We start from the raw sequence: 17682 nt of genomic DNA, 5'->3' as shown, positions 1-17682 counted from the left end.
ATGGAGATGATAGAACAGAAAATTTAAAATTAGGTCTCCTGTGGAAATACCAAAATAAAGGGAAACACTAACATAGTCTGCATACACCACAGAACACTTGTTGGGAAGTACTGGAACCTAGGATGCCTAAGCAAGATAGAGCAAGTAATGGAGGCTGAAATACTAAGTTAATAATTTGAATTTGATCTGTGAAACCCCAATTATGTTTCTAGAATCATGTTTTTTTAATACACAAACAATAATCTTTAACAAGCTATACAGCCATTTAAGGCATAAAGCCTACTGCTGTCTCTTGCTCACTTTTTCTCCATGTTCAGTTCTCTGTGATCTCCAGGAAAGCTTTGGAAAAATAAAAAGTAGTGTATTGGAGATCTCTACTTCATAATAATAGTTTACAATTATTCAGTTTTTGTTCTACTCCAGTCAAGAGGATTCCAATCAAAAGGATCCTAATCAAGGGGATTATTATATCATTTTAATGAATTAATCACTTTCTTGTTATATAATGACCTTCTCTCTGTCTCTTGTGACAATTTTTGGCTGAAAGTCTATTTTGTATGATATAAGAATAGCCACTCTTACTAGCTTTTGGTTATCGTTTGCTTGGAATATATTTTTCCCACCTTTTACTTTGAGTCTATGTTTGTCCCTAAAGCTAAAGTGTGTTGTTGTTGTTTTTTGTTGTTGTTGTTGTTGCTGTTTTAACAGCATATGGATAGTCTTCCTCTTAATCTCTTCAGCCAGTTTGTATCTTTTGATTGGGGAAGCTAATCCATTTACACTTAATTATTAATAGGTGAGAACTTATTACTGCCATTTTTAAATTATTGTCTGGTTGTTTTGTAGTTCCTTTGTCCCTCTGTTGCTGTCTTTTTTTGTGATTTGATTATCTTTTGTAGCAATATGCTTTGATTCCTTTCTCTTTATGTTTTATATATCTACTACAGGTGTTTTTCTTGTATTTACCATGAGGCTTCCATAAAACAACTTATAATCATCTATTTTAAGCTGATAGCAACTTAAATTTGATCACATACAAAATCTCTACTCTTTTACTTCTCCTATATACACACTTCATGTTATTGGTGTCACAATTTACGTCTTTTTATACTGTGTATCCATTAACAAATCATGTCATTACTTTTATAGTTTTGTCTTTTAATGTTTATACCAGAGTTGAAAGTGATTTACACACTATCATTAGAGTACTAGAGGTCTCTAGTATTTGACTATATACTTGACTTTATTGGCAAGTTTTATACTTTCATCTTTTCATGCTGCTAATCAACATCCTTTCATTTCAGCTTAAAGAACTTTCTGTAGCATTTCATGCAAAGCAGGTACAGTGATGGTGAACACCCCTCTGCATGTTTGTCTAGGAAAGTCTTTACCTCTTCTTTATTATTGAAGGATGGCTTTTCTGAGTATAGCGTTCTTGGTTGACAGGTTGTTGTTGTTTTTTGATCTTCAGTACTTTGAATATGTCATCTTACTCTCTCTTTGCCTGTGAGGATTCTGCTGAGAAATTTGCTGACAGTCTTATGGGGACTCCTTTGAATGTGATGAGTTGCTTCGCTCTTGTTTCTCTCAAAATTCTGTCTTTGACTTTTGACAATTGGATTATAATGGGTCTTGGTGTAGATCTTTGGAGCTCTTTGGACTTCATGAATCTGGATGTTGATTTCTCTCCCCTGATTTGGGAAGTTCCTTACCATTATTTCTTTAAATAGGCTTTCTACCCCTTTCCCTCTCTTCTCCCCAGAATTCCCTAATGTGTTTATTGATTCACTTGTTTGAGTCCCATAAGTCACTTAGGCTTTCCTCACTTTTCATCCTTGTTTTTTCTTTGTGCTCCTGACTACATAATTTCAAATGATCTGTCTTTATGTTCACTGTTTCTTTCTTCTGCTTGATTAGGTCTGCTTTTGAACTCCTCTAGTGAATCTTTCAGTTCAATTTTTGTATTCTCCAGCTTCAGTAATTCTATTGGGTTCTTTTTAATAGTCTCTATCTCTTTATTTAACTTCTCATTTTGTTCTTGTATCTTTTTCCTAATTTTATTTAGCTATCTCTCAGTGTTCTCTTGTAACTCACTGGGCTTCTTTAAGACATTTATTTTGCATTCTTTGTCAGTTAATTCAGGGATCTCTGTTTCTTTCAGGATGGTTATTGGAGATGACTCTTTGTGTTCCTTGTAGATTTTCTTTGTGATCTGTATATTTGAAGTAGCAGCTACCTTTCCCAGTCTCTACAGATGAGTTTTGATGAGTAGAGACCTTTACCAGTTCATGGTGCTTAATATGAGACAAGATAGAGACATACACCTTGGGGAGCACAATCTAAGACTGGGGGCAAGGCCCTTTACACTTCTTTCCTTGCCTTCTCAAGGAAAAGGCTCGGTTCTATGTTTTTTTCTTATTATACAGAGCAGTGCCAGCTGCAAAGGGATGCCTGCTCCTTTTAGTTTTTGCTAACTATCCCTCAGAACCAAGTTCTAATGGTCGCACAAGGCTCAGTACAAGGTGAAATGGAAACTGGCTTCACAGAGGGAACTCTGAAATGCTGAGAATAAGGCCCCCTTCATTCCCTTTCCTCCCTCATCTAAGAATAACCTCAGTTCTGCCCCATTCCTAATCTTGCAAGGCAGCTCTAACTGTAAGGAGTTGCCCTCCTCATTTCTTTGCTCCTACGCATCCCTGGGAACGAAGTTCTACAGGTGCGTCAGTACACAGTATGAGGCAATATAGGAACTGACCCAACAGAGGGTTCTCTGAGAGGCCAGAGGCCAGGAAGCCAGATACACACTCCAATCTCACTTTCTGTGGCACAGGAGAAATCATGAGCTGAAGCAGTCCTCTCAGTGTTGAGCTAAGCCAGTCTGGGGGAAGTACTGATATGACATTCTAACATGAAATTGCACTTTTTACCCATGCAAATGCAACTGCTTTTAGTTTGGGATCCTCTAGGGTGCCTCTATTTCTTAGCTACAATCTGAATATATTTGCAAGGTATTTTGGTTCCAACATTGTTTTATCAGTATTTCTGTGGAAGAATGAGAGGTAGAGTTTTCCACTCTGCCATCTTGCTGACTTCACCCCTATTATTTGTTAAGACATTAATTTTACTTGAAAAAAATATGCCATTTGGACTGGCTGATAGACAAAGTATTAAGATATGCACCCCTCAGTAACTTGGCATTTCTAACATGCCTATGGGTCTATAGCTATTTAATTATGTTTACTTGTTACTTTAGGCTTCAGCCTTCTTGATTAGGTTAGGATACATCGGATTATTTGAGCTGAATAGTGCTTCTTATTTTGACAGAAGAATGTCTATTTTGTTTTAATTCAGTGATATATTTTCAGTGGCAGATCTTTAAAATAACTCTTCTAAAACTTGTAATATTTTTAGTATTGGACTTAGTTAAGTTACTTATCTGGGCCTCAGTTGTATCATCTGCAAAATGAGGCAACAGGATTTAACATGGTCTCTAGTTAATTCGAGCTCTAAAATTGTGCGATCTCATTTGTCATTTCAATTCAACATATGTTAACGAATGGAATACTTACATAATGTAAATCAATGAGGTAGAACTTGGGTGGATACAGAGATGAATGTGATTCCTTCATGCAAATAGCTTATAATTTGATGCCTTCAAAACTGAGATGTGTATTCCCCAACACATCCTAGTTCCTTATGTTTGACATGTCATTTATAAATAAGGGTATATTATTTATTTTTGAAGTGGAAGAAATTTATTCCTTTGTTACTATTTTTCATCTCTAGATTTGGAGAAACAAAAATGTGGCCTAAACTATCATTTTAATAATATTGTGCATTTGTATTTCCTCTTCATTGCAAAGCATTTACAAGATTCTGGAATCATTTTCTTATCCATCCCTAAAGTAGCCCAGTGCAAGTAGAAAAGGACAGTTATTCCCCTTTTAGTGATTAGAAAACTGGACCCTGATTTTTCTGGAGTTATATAATATGCCACTGAATGAGAACAGGTAAAAATCCAGGAACTCTCATTTCAAGACTGCCCAGCCAGGTTCCTTTGTATGTTACAGTTTCTTTTAGTAAGTTCTGCAGAGCCTGATTCCTAAATCATCTTTCAAACCAAATTCTTTCTTATTCCCTATCCAAACAGCAGCATAGCCATTGATGATTTCAGATAGATCAACAGGAAAAAAAAATTGTAGTGAAAGAATAGAATGTATGCAGCAAGAAATGTGCTGTGCAAGCTGTGATACAGTGTACAATGTTTCAGTCTTTAGCTGGAATTAAAATTAGAAGTTGAAAAAACTTGGGGACTCCTCCATCAATCTAATCTAGAAACATTTGACTGTAGGCCCAGCAGCCCACAATGAAACCTGCCCTTTTGCTAGGTGAGAACATCATTCTGAACATGCCACCTTGGAAACTTTGCATCAGTTCTTGGTATCACTAGAATTTTCCTATCCTGCTTTTGAGAAGAGTCAGTGTGAGAACAAATATACTTCTTTTTACAAATCTTGAAAGTAGATCCTTAGAAATAGGTGATTACATTTCCTTCATAACCTAATTCTTTCTATGTAGTAAAAAAGTCATATTCATGTTTGGTCTCATAGTTTCCTTAGTCAAAAAATTTGCATCTAAAAGCCTAGGAAAATGTTTGGCCTGCACAGTTGAATGTTTAAACAGGTGCGCACTGCACTGGTCTGGCTGAAGAAAGGTAGTCTCCTCCACTTGGAAACCCTGACATTAAGAGAATGATTCTTGTGCCAGCTTTCAGGAAAGCTTGTGAAGGAAAAGTTCAGGTGATTCTTAAGTCTTATTACCTGATTATCAGCCCATGTGCCTCCCTTCCATTCTGTATTCTCATGAAGAAATTGATTTAATAGATTGAAGATATTATTAAATACATTCTGCATTAATATTATATGTCCTCTTTGAATCCAAGTGGCAATACAATAGAATTTCATTTTATAAATAACACCTTTCAAGCGAACACCACAGGGCACAGTACAAAAGAATCAAAATAGAACACAAATGCTGTAATCAAATGCAGACCCCAGGAAGGCTGATTAAAAAGGCATGTTGCTACTAAGAACAGCCGACAGGTTAAGTATAGTGGGTCATAGCAGAAAAGCCAGCAGAACAGAAGGGCAAACTAAAATAAAATGGACTTGCCTGCCTGAATCACACGGACTTATGACATTCCTTTGTCTTCATCTCTTTTTGAACTCAGGAATTGCAGGGGAGAGGGGGGTGTGCATGTGTGTTGGAGGAGAGAACTAAACATAGGGTCATTAAATTTATCCTCAGTACTCACGCATAGCACAAACAAAAGGAAATCATAAGGATAACCACCTGCAGCTGGCAGAGATGCCTACAGTGTGATTGTGAGACAACCCAACATGGCTTGCTTTGCTGGATACCACTGGCTTTAAGAAAACACAACTGTGAGGTAACAAGTAGACCCCTTCCATAATAGTGAGAACAGATAGTGCTGATGGCCAGACATAGGTAAAAACGGATGAATGGTGAGAAAGATGTTCTGTGGTCCTGACCTCAGTATAGTCTACTCTCTACAGGACTCTCCTCACCCAATTAGCTTTTCTGCTCTCAGCCTCTCACAACCACGCTCCTTGCTAATGTCAGGTGTTTGTGGTTTTAAACTCTACCTGTAATTATACAGCAAAAGCACCTGTTCCCTTCTTAAGGGAATTAGGCAAAAGTAGGGGAGGTATTTTGGAATATACTCTCTCCCCATATGTAAAACTAGTTCTAACAATGATCACAGTATCATAGTTTACCAAATTGGTCATTTATTGATGCTTCTCTATTTAATATTAAGAGTAGAACAATATAGGACCAGAATCATAAGAAAAAATTTCTAAATATGTATTTTTCTGAAAAACAGTAACCTATATTTTGCTGGGCACGTGGCTCATGCCTGTAATCCCAGCACTTTGGGAGGCCGAGGCAGGCGGATCACGAGGTCAGGAGTTCAAGACCAGCCTGACCAATATGGTGAAACCCTGTCTCTACTAAAAATACAAAAATTAGCTGGGTGTGGTGGCACATGTCTGTAATCCCAGCTACTCAAGAGGCTGAGGCAGGAGAATTGCTTGAACCCGGAAGGCAGAGGTTGCAGTGAGCCAAGATTGCACCACTGCACTCCAGCCTGGGCAACAGAGCAAGACGCCATCTCAAAAAAAAAAAAAAAAAAAAAAAAAAAAGAATAACCTATTTAAGAGCCACCCCACCCCTCCACAAAAATGTCATAGAAGAAGCAAATATGAGTTCTAGAGTTAATTAAAAAGAAAAGGAAAGAGAAAGGAAAAATGATAATCGAGGCAATTTTTACCTCTCTCAAAGCTTTTGGTTGTTTGTAATGACTCTTCTGAATACCCACTTAGTTGAGATTCTGGTGTGAGATCACTGATGCATACATTTAGGTCAATAGCTTAGTACTTCTGTATATTTTTTTCTTAAGTAAATTATAAACATGTAATTAAAATGTATGTGGGCAGCACTTGGGGGAAAAGGTTATGTACATATACTAGTACTGTCACTTTAAAATATTCTATTATAGGTATTTATCTACTGGCCTCTTATTTTTCTTAATTCTGACAGTATTTGCTTAACTATGCAAAGGGAGTTGGTTTATTAGTAAATGTGAACAGTAGTGCAATCAGTTGAAAATACTGGATTATAATCTCTAATGTGAGTTATTTCATGAAGTGTGTGAGCAAATAATAATATCTGTGCCAGTTACCAATGTATTACCTCCCATTGCCTCCTTCCAAATGTAGTTCTCCTTGCCTGCTCTGCAAAAATGTATCTGGATTCTTTAAATATTTTTTCTTTGCTAGCTGGTTTGAGGGTGCTTTGTCAGTAGAGAAGGTAGGGAGACGTTGCAGAAAGAAGAAATTTTCCTTCCTGGTTGTCATGCACTACTTTGGCAGCCTCCTGCAATGTGCACGGTTTCTCCAGAGCCTGGCTTCTACAACATAAGCAACCTTTACAGCATGTAGCTCCTGCAGCAAATGCAGCTAACCTGGTACCCAGCAGCTGAAGCACAGGTAGCTTCTCCAGTACGTGGCAGGTAGCAGCTACCCCTAGCACCCACCATACACACACACGTACACACACATGTGTACACACACATTGGGCAATTTATAGCAGAGTGCCTCAGATGAGATACATCCCTGTAAATAGCTTTCATTAGCACCCTAGAGTGCAGGTGCTACTGATGCAGCTCCCCAGCAACTTCTCTGCCATCCAATGAGTTATGGCTGTGTGTTGTCCAACAAGGTCTGGATCCTGGTCCAGGGGTCCAGGAGATTTTTGTCTTGAGTCCTACAATGTCTAGATCTCAGTCCAGGGATGGAGGAGACTCTTCCTTGGATATGCTATCTTAGCCCTGCAAATAATGGCTGTTCCTTACATTTGTTATTCTTCTATTCTTTTTTATTTTTTAAGACAAGGTCTCGCTTTGTCACCCAGGGTTGAATGCAGTGGCATGAACACAGCTCACTGCAGCCTCAACCTCCTGGAATCAAGCGATCCTCTCACCTCAGCCCCACAAGTAGCTGGGACTGCAGGCACACACCATCATGCTCGACTAATATTTTGTAGAAACGGCATTTCACCATTTTGCCCAAACTAGTCTTCAGCTCCTAGGCTGAAGACCCACCTCGGCCCTAAGTGCTGGGATTACAGGCATGAGCCCCTGCGCCTGGCCCATGTTATTCTTATATTCTTTAAAGTATTCTTTACTTCTTACTAGCTACTCTTATTACTTTAATCCCGTTATTATTAATAATTTAAACTAACTTTCTATTCAAATTGCTATATGGTCTCTGTATCCAAACAGGGCCTGACTGACACATACCCAAAGAATATTAAAATAATCTATATTCTTTGGGAGTAGGAGAAGATAAATATGATAAGTCATCTTTTTATAGAACAGATTAGTATTGGTACAATGTGCCTTATCTAGGGCTGGCTATTAGATGGACAAAAACTTTTGAGAATTTGCTGCTGCACTGAAAAGTGCTACAATAATAATAATATGGTGCTATATATTAGTCTAACTGTACATACAGTTTAAATATCAAATTTTTAAATATTTTACATGATTTTACTGAGACTTTTTAAAAATGTAAGCTATAGTGAAGCAAACAACAAAGGCTGTACTAAAAAATAATTTGTTGACCCTGAAAAGATGTTGCAAAATAATAATTCTATAATGTGAATTTGTAGATTATTAATGCTAGGATAATGATAGCCATCATTTATTGAGAACTGAGAAAATCCTCAGCACTTTATATTAATTTATTGGATCCTCATATTAATTAATAGAAGTGGATATTATTATCATCCCTATTTTACAAATGGGAAAAGAAAGACTTGGCAAGGTTAAGGAACTGGCCTGAGGTGATATATATAATAAATTTCAGAGCCAAAATTTGAATCTAGATCTGCCTATGAGCCCTGAATCTTAACCACTGCCCACTGCTTCCAGAATACTGACACTGAAGCAAATGGCAAGTCATTTGTGAAAACAAACCCAGGATACTTGTTTTTGTTGGTTTTCATCAAAGATCCAGAAAAAGAAACTCTGAAGTATCCCTAGAATGTATAGCACACCCTGAGATATTTCTGAGATAGCTAACCTATTACTTTTTTTTTAACAAAATATGGACAAACTGGATGAACATAGTGATCAAATCCCCAGAACCAAAGTGTTAACAGTCTATCAAAACCTAGCAGCCTTTATTCAGAGCTGAATTGAAGGCAGATGAAATATTAACAGCAGCTCTAGCAGCATAAAATGAAATATGAGATCCTGTATCAGAAATTATTAGTAACCTGTTAAAAGAAATGCTGAAAAATGGCAGTTACCAAATTAAAACTGGGAAACAGAGCCCAAATGGGAAATTTCAAAAAGTTTGGAGGAAAATAAATGACAGATCGTCCTCTTGGCTCTTATTAGTATGCCATCCTAAATCCTGCTTGGCAATGGGTGGTGGAGGTGAAATAAGAACTGCATTGCTGCCAGTGCTGGTCCTCAGATTTGTAGTCCTAAGTGTCTGTGATGGTGTCTGGGATTGATTGGAAAAGTAGTTAGAAGTTGGTAGCATTTTAGCTTTATCTAAGTTAAAGAGTGTGGAGACTCTTATTATGAAAGGCTTTCTCTCATTTGTGAATTGGCCCCTTTGCTCCACTTTTGGATGGCTGGCTTCCTCCATGCCCTGCTACACTAAATATTCTACATGGGAAAGCTATTTTCCTTAAACGCCTTCAAATTTAAAGCATCTATTTGGATATGTTGGTGTTTATGACTCAAAATATCTAGCATCAAATAAAAAAAGAGAGAGATTACAAATACAAAATACCAACTAGTAAATGAAGGACATATTTTTCCATTAGTAACTGAGAGCATAGAGATTACTATGAGCGGAGTTGTTGAGCAGTTGATGCCAAAGGGAGAAAAAAAAGGAAATGAGCTATAGAACCATAGAATCTTAGTGTTGGCAGAGACTATGGAGTTTATGCAGTCCTACCCTATCATTTTTCAATGAAGAGACTGAGACATGGGGAGTTAAGGGACTTGACTTGCCCAAGACACATAGTTGTTTACTGACAGTCAGGCCAAAAACATTTCCCAACTCCCAGCCCGGAACTCTACAGTTCAGCATGCTACTGCCGTCCTCTACTGAAAATTAACACTAACTCAGCCTGGAACATAGAAGAATTCAGCATCTGTGGGGAGTGAAAGAAAAGATGAATTTAGAGCTGGAAATCAATCTGGGAAAAGAAAAGAGGAAACGGATGATTTGTCATTGTGACTTGTTGGTCAAGGTTGTATAAGATATTTTGTGTCAGTTACTCCCCTGTGCATTCCTACAAAATACAATGGAATTATTTTGTTATAATTCCCCAGGGTTTATATTTATATGTACAGGTTTTATTTGCTTGGTGAATTCTCCATGTACAAGTCATCTCCAGGTGTAGATTGGTTTGTGGATGGCATTGCTATTGAACCTTGTCATTTACATGGGTCTGACTTTCCTTCTCTAACAGTAAAGTATGCTCCAGGGGAATCTTCTTCATGGGATACTCCTAACTGAGGGTCAGAAGTAGGCTTAAGATGTAAGAATTATCGTCTATTAACCCTTGTATTCTGATAATCTCATGGAAAACTTGGGCCATATGTGGGACTTTTAATCAGGCTAATGAATTAGGTAAAATAATTTTCTTTATTTGGAAGCGCAGAGTAATTTGAAGTAAACCAGTAGCAAATAAGATACAATAAACATGTCCCAATAGGATCCCCTGTGAAATGGCATTCTAGCAGTATAGATCTCCTAGTTTAGTCAAATATTTTTCAGAACAGAGCAACCAGAAATGAGAGAATCAGATAATATGATGAAAACTACAGATGGAATGCTTTGCATGAAAAGTGATTATATACAAGAGAGGGCTTAGGAGTGGGTAGGAGTAGAGTTGGAAAAGAGTGGGTAACTGAAATAAGAGAAGATAATGCTTGACCAGGTCTAGTAAAATATTCCCTGCCACAACCACTATTCCATGAAGAGATTGAGCCAAGAGGCCTGAATAAACTAACCTTAAGTTCAGAGTTGCCATTATTGTGGGAGGCATCAGGGAGAGCACATCCGGAATTGTGTTACACAGTAATCACTGCTGGGTGTCAGCATTCATCAGCCAGATGGTCAGACCCACAATTAATCAATTAGGCTGCGATGATCAACTGGACTACGTTTTCCCCTTTGGTAAAAAGCCCTCATCATGCGGTTAAGGCCAATAACACTTTTATCCTGTTGCTTTTGGAGAAGCTTCTAAAAATTCCTCTTTTCTTTTTTGGGCCTCTAGTTACTGGACAACTGTTAGGCTCCAAGTTGCTTTGACAACATAGATACCCAAATTCAAGGATTTCACATAATAGATTTTCAACATCCTGTGTCTTCAAGTATAATGTTTAACATACCCAGACAGAAATAATCTTTTTAAAGCAGCAGTGTAAGCAGTGTTACTCAACTGATTTTACTAGAGTCTTCATATTGATTCCTCTCAATCCAGTGGAACAACACTGGAGGGGGATTCTTTCACTGGATACTTATAAAGATGATATGATATGATAATCAAATAATATGAATAATAAGCAATTTACTGAATGTTCACCATGTGACAGGTACTGCTGAGATAAGGGTTAATGAACATTGATTCAGTGCTTACAATGATTCCATGAGGATGATAATATTATTTCCATTTCAAAGAGAGAGAAACTGAGGCTAGAAAGCTCATTTGCCCAAGATTAAACAGTTAGTAAATATGTGTTCAGATGACTTAATACCCTCTGAAATGAAAGCTGAAAGTTTATTTTACATTTCCTTACCCATATACATCTGTGCATCTCTGAGGGACAACATTTAGGAATATGTGGTGGGTCCTCATTACTCCTCTTAAAAGGACTTTAAAGAAATATTTTACTCGTGTTCCCGAAGTCTGTTGCTCTCCTTCTGTTTTCCATGCTGTTTTATTCTACATCATGTGACTTGAGATTGCTTTCTTCCTTCTTTATGGCCATTACTACCATTTCCTGATAGTTATCAGTCTCCACCTGGCATCTTCATCTAGATATGGTTTCTCTAAGTCTGTTCAGATACCAAGACTTTTTTTTATCAGTTGACTTATAGAGCAATTTGCCTCCTCTGAAACAAAATGTCTATCACTAATTTTTTTTATGTTGAACCTTGTTTTTCTATCTATTTTATTTTCCCTCTCCCCTTGCTATATTACAGTACTACTGCAGAGGGAGAAGTGTTTGAAGTCCTGTTAGTGGGAGCATCACTTCTTGATGGAGGTCTAATGGAGGTCTATGTTGGCCCCATTGAGTAGAAATATGGTCACAGTGTCATAGTTCCCCTATGTTTTATCATTAACTGGTAACTCTCTTTTCTCTAAGCTCTTCTCTACCCCCACCCAAGCTCAACTTAAAGAGTACTCCTCTTTAACCATTTCATACAGGCTATATACAGACACTATTAACCCAAATGTACACCTTTGAGATATCAGACTCATATTATTTTATGAAATATGAGGCTTTTCTTGCTATTTAACTGCAGTGCCTTGCATTTTATTTGTTTTGCTACTTACTGAATTGGGAAAACAGTACCAAAATACTAGGATAGTATATAGGAAGTCACCATTTCTTAATTCAAGTTTGGGAGCATGTGGAAGAAAAGACATTTCAGAAACCTTAATGAGCATCTTTTATCCTCCAGGGCTCTACCAGTGCCCTCTTTTTCTGACTGTGGTACTCTGTTTTGTCCTTGCTATGTTTGGTAGGCAGCTTTTTTTTTTCTCTTGATGCTTCTTTTTTTACAGTCCTACAATCTTCACCCCAGAGCTGATGAGGCGCTTTCATTTTGACCTGCAGTATTTCTGTGTATTGCAGAACAGAGCCCTGCCATCTAGACTGCCTTTCTGCTTCATTTTGCTCCTGACCTAAACCCCCCTGCTATTCCAGGCCTGGCCTCTCATGACCAGAGACTGCTGACTCATCCTGGCCTGTGCCAAGCTGTGCAGTCGCTTAGTGATGTGGACAGGAGTCGAAGGACTAGAATGAGATCACTGAACTCATTTCACTTGTTGCTTACGGTACAGTCCAGCATGAGCTGGAAATGTAGGAACCTCAGCCTCCCGAGCAGAAAGAGTAAGTAGATAAAACACACCGCATCACCAAGTCCTCAACAAGCAGTAGTCGGGTGGTGGGTGGGGGCTCGCTCTATCATGGCCGTGGCTAGGGCATTCTGGTTCATCAGGAGTTTTCCTTTGTCCTCTCTTCTTCCTCTTCTCCACAGTCGTACCCTTCCCCCCTTCCCTGAACTTCCCTTCTGAAAATGTCTGGATGGTACAGCAGTGATCTGGGCAGAAATGAAATTTGGCTAATAAGCAGCCTCTGCACAAAATTCTGGAACAGTGACACTGTTGAAATTGCTTAGTTTAGTTTGTCTACTGGGAACTCACATGAACTTCCCAACAGAATTCAAGGGGATGAAATCTTTTTTGTTCTGTTTTGTTCTCCTTTCCTTTTTGATTCTCTTTTTCTTTCTGTTTTGAGGGAGGTAGTTTCAGGAGACATGGCTGCATTCTGGTGTGGTGTAAAGTTTTCCGTCGGGAGACAATAATGTACATTCCTCTGGCAGGACGGGATGGGTTTTTTTTTTTTTTGTTTCTCTTACTGTTGTTTATTTATAAGACATTTCCTCCCAGTTAGTGGAAGTTAGATCGTAAGAGGCTCCAGTGATTTTCCTTCCACCTCCCCTCCCTAATTTCTGTGCTTCAGCACTCTGGAACACTGTGAACTCGACAAACTAATCAGAGCAGGGAGCTTAACAGCCAGGCCTGGACACCCTCAAGAGACTGTGTGCTGATTCTCAGTCGTCACTCCTTGGATCAGGAACCATAGTCCTGGTGAGTGGTGAGGTTCCAGAATTTGATGTGTCAAGGATTTTATTCTTGGTGTCTCTAAGGCAAGCAGGAAATAAAGGGTGTTTTTAAAACAAACAAACAAAAAATACAATTAAAGAAATACTACCAAACAGTCAAATGGAATGATGAAGATTTTTAGCGGGCACAACTTAGAGCACTCTACGGACAATGGCAGAGCCTTGAGGCTATGCTCAGGAGCAGCCTGTAGGCATAGGTTTCATACTGCCACCGATGGATGTCAGCCTTGACATGCCTAGCAAACATGCTTGTTGGGGGGAGGAAGATAGGTGAGTGGGGGCAGGGAGGTAGTATTCAGGGAGGTAGATGGGGGAAGTGAAAGTGGAATTAATTGTTCATTTGGAGTTTCACTCCACCAGCTTTCCATGCATTTCTGTTCTGAGTATTTACATTATGCTCACAGTACTTACATGCCTAGCTAAGCAGGAGAGAATATCTATAGTGGATGTAGAGCAAACATTCTTGCTAATACTGTTCTAAAGATCACTTTGCTAACAACTGGTTGCTTTTAAACGTTAGGGAACCTCCCCACACCCGACCTTTGGAAAATATGATTTGTCACACCCTCTTCTTTATTCTTCTGCATTCATAGTATCAAGCAGAAGAATGCAATGAGAATCCTTATTTGGTTCCCAGGAAATTTATCATCCTGCCACAGGAAAACTAAATGACTGTCCTCACAGTATTAAACCCAAATATAGTATTGTCCTCAATTTAAGGGACACTGATTGAATGTGCTCTGGGAAGTTGTCGAAGGAATGGAGTGGGGATGGTTGCATCCTGTCTGATGTGAGACTGGCAGAGGAGTCCACGGACCAGCTTTCATAGCCAAAATGTGCCTTCCACATCCTTCTTAATAACTCATACTCTCCCTAAAAGTAGAATTCCTGTTGGAATGTGTTTTTATCCTTTACCATCAGGTCCCTGCCTAGTTTCTTTTCTAGAGGTATTCCATCTTACTGGGTTTTCTCATCTTCTTTCTATTTCAAGAATCTGGCATGTTCATTAAGCATGGAAAAAACAAAAGACGAAACAAAAACCAAAAAAACATGGTGGCCATAAAAGCATTCGATTGTGTGGCAGCATCTGAAGTGAATTGCTTTTTGGAAAGAGGGGGAGTCTTTGATGTCGCCAATATGGTTCTCATAGGCTGAAACTTCCAGGAATCACAACCCAGCCTAAGGGGCACTTACTTGATGTTCTTAAATTTTAGGAAAGAGATGTTATTTTATTGTTTTGGTTGTCCTTGCTGTTAACACATTGCCAGTAGATTTCTCCTAGAAGTTTAAAATGCTTTAGCAATGGATGATTTTACATTTAACCAGATGTATATTGTATGTGCCTGTTGCATGTACTCTTGTCCAAGTAGGTACAGCGATCCAGCGTATTACATTGGTACTCAGCTTTGGAATTTTGTTTGCTATACTGAGTGCTTCAGATTCTTAACCACAGAACTCATACATGCTCATATAGCCCAAGTTTCCTATAGAGACTGACCCCTGCTACAGCCTTATCAGGTTTGTCAGTGGCCTCTAGGACAGAGTCAGCTTCCTATCACAATTCCTATAGTTTGTGAGGCACATTAAATTCATCAGCTGTCATTGTGATAGAAAATAGTCTCAGAGTTTTATTAGGGCTAGTATGGTAAAAGTTTAATGTTATATTAATAGTAAAGTTTGCCTATTGTAGTTAGCTCGTGTTAGGACTATACTATTTATATGTATAATATTTCTTGGGTAATTTTCATTAGTTATCTTGTTTTCTAAAGAAAAAAAGTTGAAAGGGAAATGGTGTTTACAATACGTTATAAAAAATGTAACTAGCTCTTAGGCCATTACCACCAAGACCTACATAGGAGGTTAACATTCCTCAGTTAATATTCAAACTGCCCAGACTCCCAGGAAAACTGTCTCATAGTTTCTGGTAGGGATGTCTATTAGAACTGCGTTGAAGGCAAGCTAGATCTCTAACACTTTGAAAACATGTTATTAATGACTACATATGAAATTATATAAGCAACTTTAAGAAGAGAATAGGTGAAAACAAATATTTAAGAGTATTCCCAAGACATGACATTTAAAAAAATATAATCTGCCAGAGAGATTTTTCTTATAGTTGCTAAGGCTTGGAGTTCCAAGTGGTCGTGGAAGAATTTCATGACTAAATTGAAATATATAAGAAGTCAGAATTTGATTAGTGTACCTCTGATACAAAGGCAAGACGATGTATTTTTTGTGCTTCAATGGCTATATTAATATTACTTATTTTTTCAATACCTTGATCATAAGCCTTCACAATGCACTGTCAATAACTCAATTTCCTAGTGCTCACCTGGAAATTCTAATTTCATTAAATTAATGAGGATGCATGTTGTGAAATGTGTATTTTCTTGCGTGCATATTTTAGCTGTAAGTACTTCCTATATGCTATATTCATTTAATTAGGCAGTCGCAGATATACACAAATCAAATTGCTAAATAACAGAATTGTTGTTACCCCAATAAGAAATTGTTCTTTCTTATTTATATAGAAGTGGTTTTTAGTATTTATGTGATTCCCCTAAGAAAGACATATATTTTAAAAACTTAAAAAGGAGTTGATTGCTTGTATCATATGATTGTATATGTATGTTAGCTTATAAATGCCTACATATACGCACAACCATATATCTATATTCAGCTATTAAAAATATGACCAAATTCTAGCCAGGCTTACTTGCCTTTGATTTCAGTCAAATGTTTTGGTCATAATGACCATAAATGAAATGTAGCTGACTTTTTATCACACTGACAACACCGAAAGTTTACACAAATATTTATGAACAGTATTTGCAAAAAGAAAGATGTAGTTAGCTGATAAGTTTGGTAATTATCCTTCAGCAAATATACATATTAGCTTATCAACCTAAATTCTATTATGTACAGCTTCAAAATATTAATTGCTATATATATAAAAGTTTAAAATTAAGTAGAAAGAAATTAATTGATATCTTAAAATTGAGCATATGTTTAATGAATTCATTTTATTTTATAAGGCTGAGTACATATACAGATGATCCCATTTTAGTTTCTCAGCTATTTTACTATATGTTAAATATTTTGATGCTGTATTTACATATTAGCATCAGCAACCATAATTTTTCTGATAACTTTTCAAGATCAGCCAAATCATATCCTTGACAAGTCACACTTTTTCTCTGAAGTTTTCCATAAAACCCAAATTAAAAGTGATCTGACACTGGTAGCATTTTACAAATCTACCTTCATTTAGCATTTATATATGCTTTTAAGTTGAAGTTTTTTCTATATATGAAACTGCAAGTGGTTAGAGGGCAGGTTTTGTGTTTTAGGTTTGTTAATTTCTCTCCCAACCAGTGTCAGATTGGCTCAGTCTGAGTGGAGGATCAATGAATAGGTGATGAATGAATGGATATCTACATGTCAGTGCATTGACAGTGAATACATCTTGCTTATCATAGTGAAAGAAACAGCCGGACACAGTGGCTCATGCCTGTAATCCCAGCACTTTGGGAGGCCGAGGCGGGCGGATCACCTGAGGTCAGGAGTTCGAGACCAGCCTGATAAACATGAAGAAACCCCCTCTCTACTAAAAATACAACATTAGCCGGGCATGGTGGCGCATGCGTGTAATCCTAGCTGCTCGGGAGGCTGAGGCAGGAGAATCGCTAGAACCTAGGAGGTGGAGATTGCAGTGAGCCAAAGTCGTGCCATTGCACTCCAGCCTGTGCAACAAGAGCAAAACTCCATCTCAAAAAAAAAGAAAAGAAAAGAAAAAAACATGTCCATGTCTAGAACACAAATTGGCAGAGTCTTCTATATCTGAGCCTCCTTAACTCCCACATTAGATCTTCCAACTATCTGACAGCATTTCCAACCATTTACTAAGATTGCTAAGGTTCCCCACAATGCTTGGGTAATTTCTGATGGAACATGGGATCTTCAGTTTGCAGTAGTTCCATTCATTTTCCTGGACTTATGAGGGTGACCGAATATCCAGCTTGGTCAGCTCATGTAGTCAGAAAGTACCAGACTTACCTATAATGCATCATATTAACCAACAGTCCCTCCAGCTTGTCAATACTTGTTCTTCCTTTCCTCAAACTTCCACATCCGTGGAGGTCAGGCTGATGTCAGT

The 17682-nt window shown here is 37.9% G+C and overlaps 1 protein-coding gene across 17 annotated transcripts in view; it reads left to right on the top strand.

The window, feature by feature from the left end:
- ZBTB20 (zinc finger and BTB domain containing 20) overlaps nucleotides 1-17682 on the top strand; it is an 832789-nt gene that overhangs the window by 509682 nt on the left and 305425 nt on the right. The window contains exon 1 of one of the 17 annotated variants that reach the window (NM_001164346.2): nucleotides 12662-12730. The exons of 15 other annotated variants lie outside the window; for them this stretch is intronic. The gene's annotated coding sequence lies outside the window, so the exon portion shown is untranslated. Of the gene's footprint in view, nucleotides 1-12661; nucleotides 12731-13400; nucleotides 13492-17682 lie in introns of those variants that run through there. One more of the 17 variants, NM_001164347.2, reaches the window with a different exon arrangement.

Source organism: Homo sapiens, chromosome 3, assembly GCF_000001405.40.
Source record: "Homo sapiens chromosome 3, GRCh38.p14 Primary Assembly".
Lineage (NCBI taxonomy): Eukaryota > Metazoa > Chordata > Mammalia > Primates > Hominidae > Homo > Homo sapiens.
Note: the sequence above shows the minus strand (reverse complement) of the source record. Positions and strands in the feature narration are given on the sequence as shown.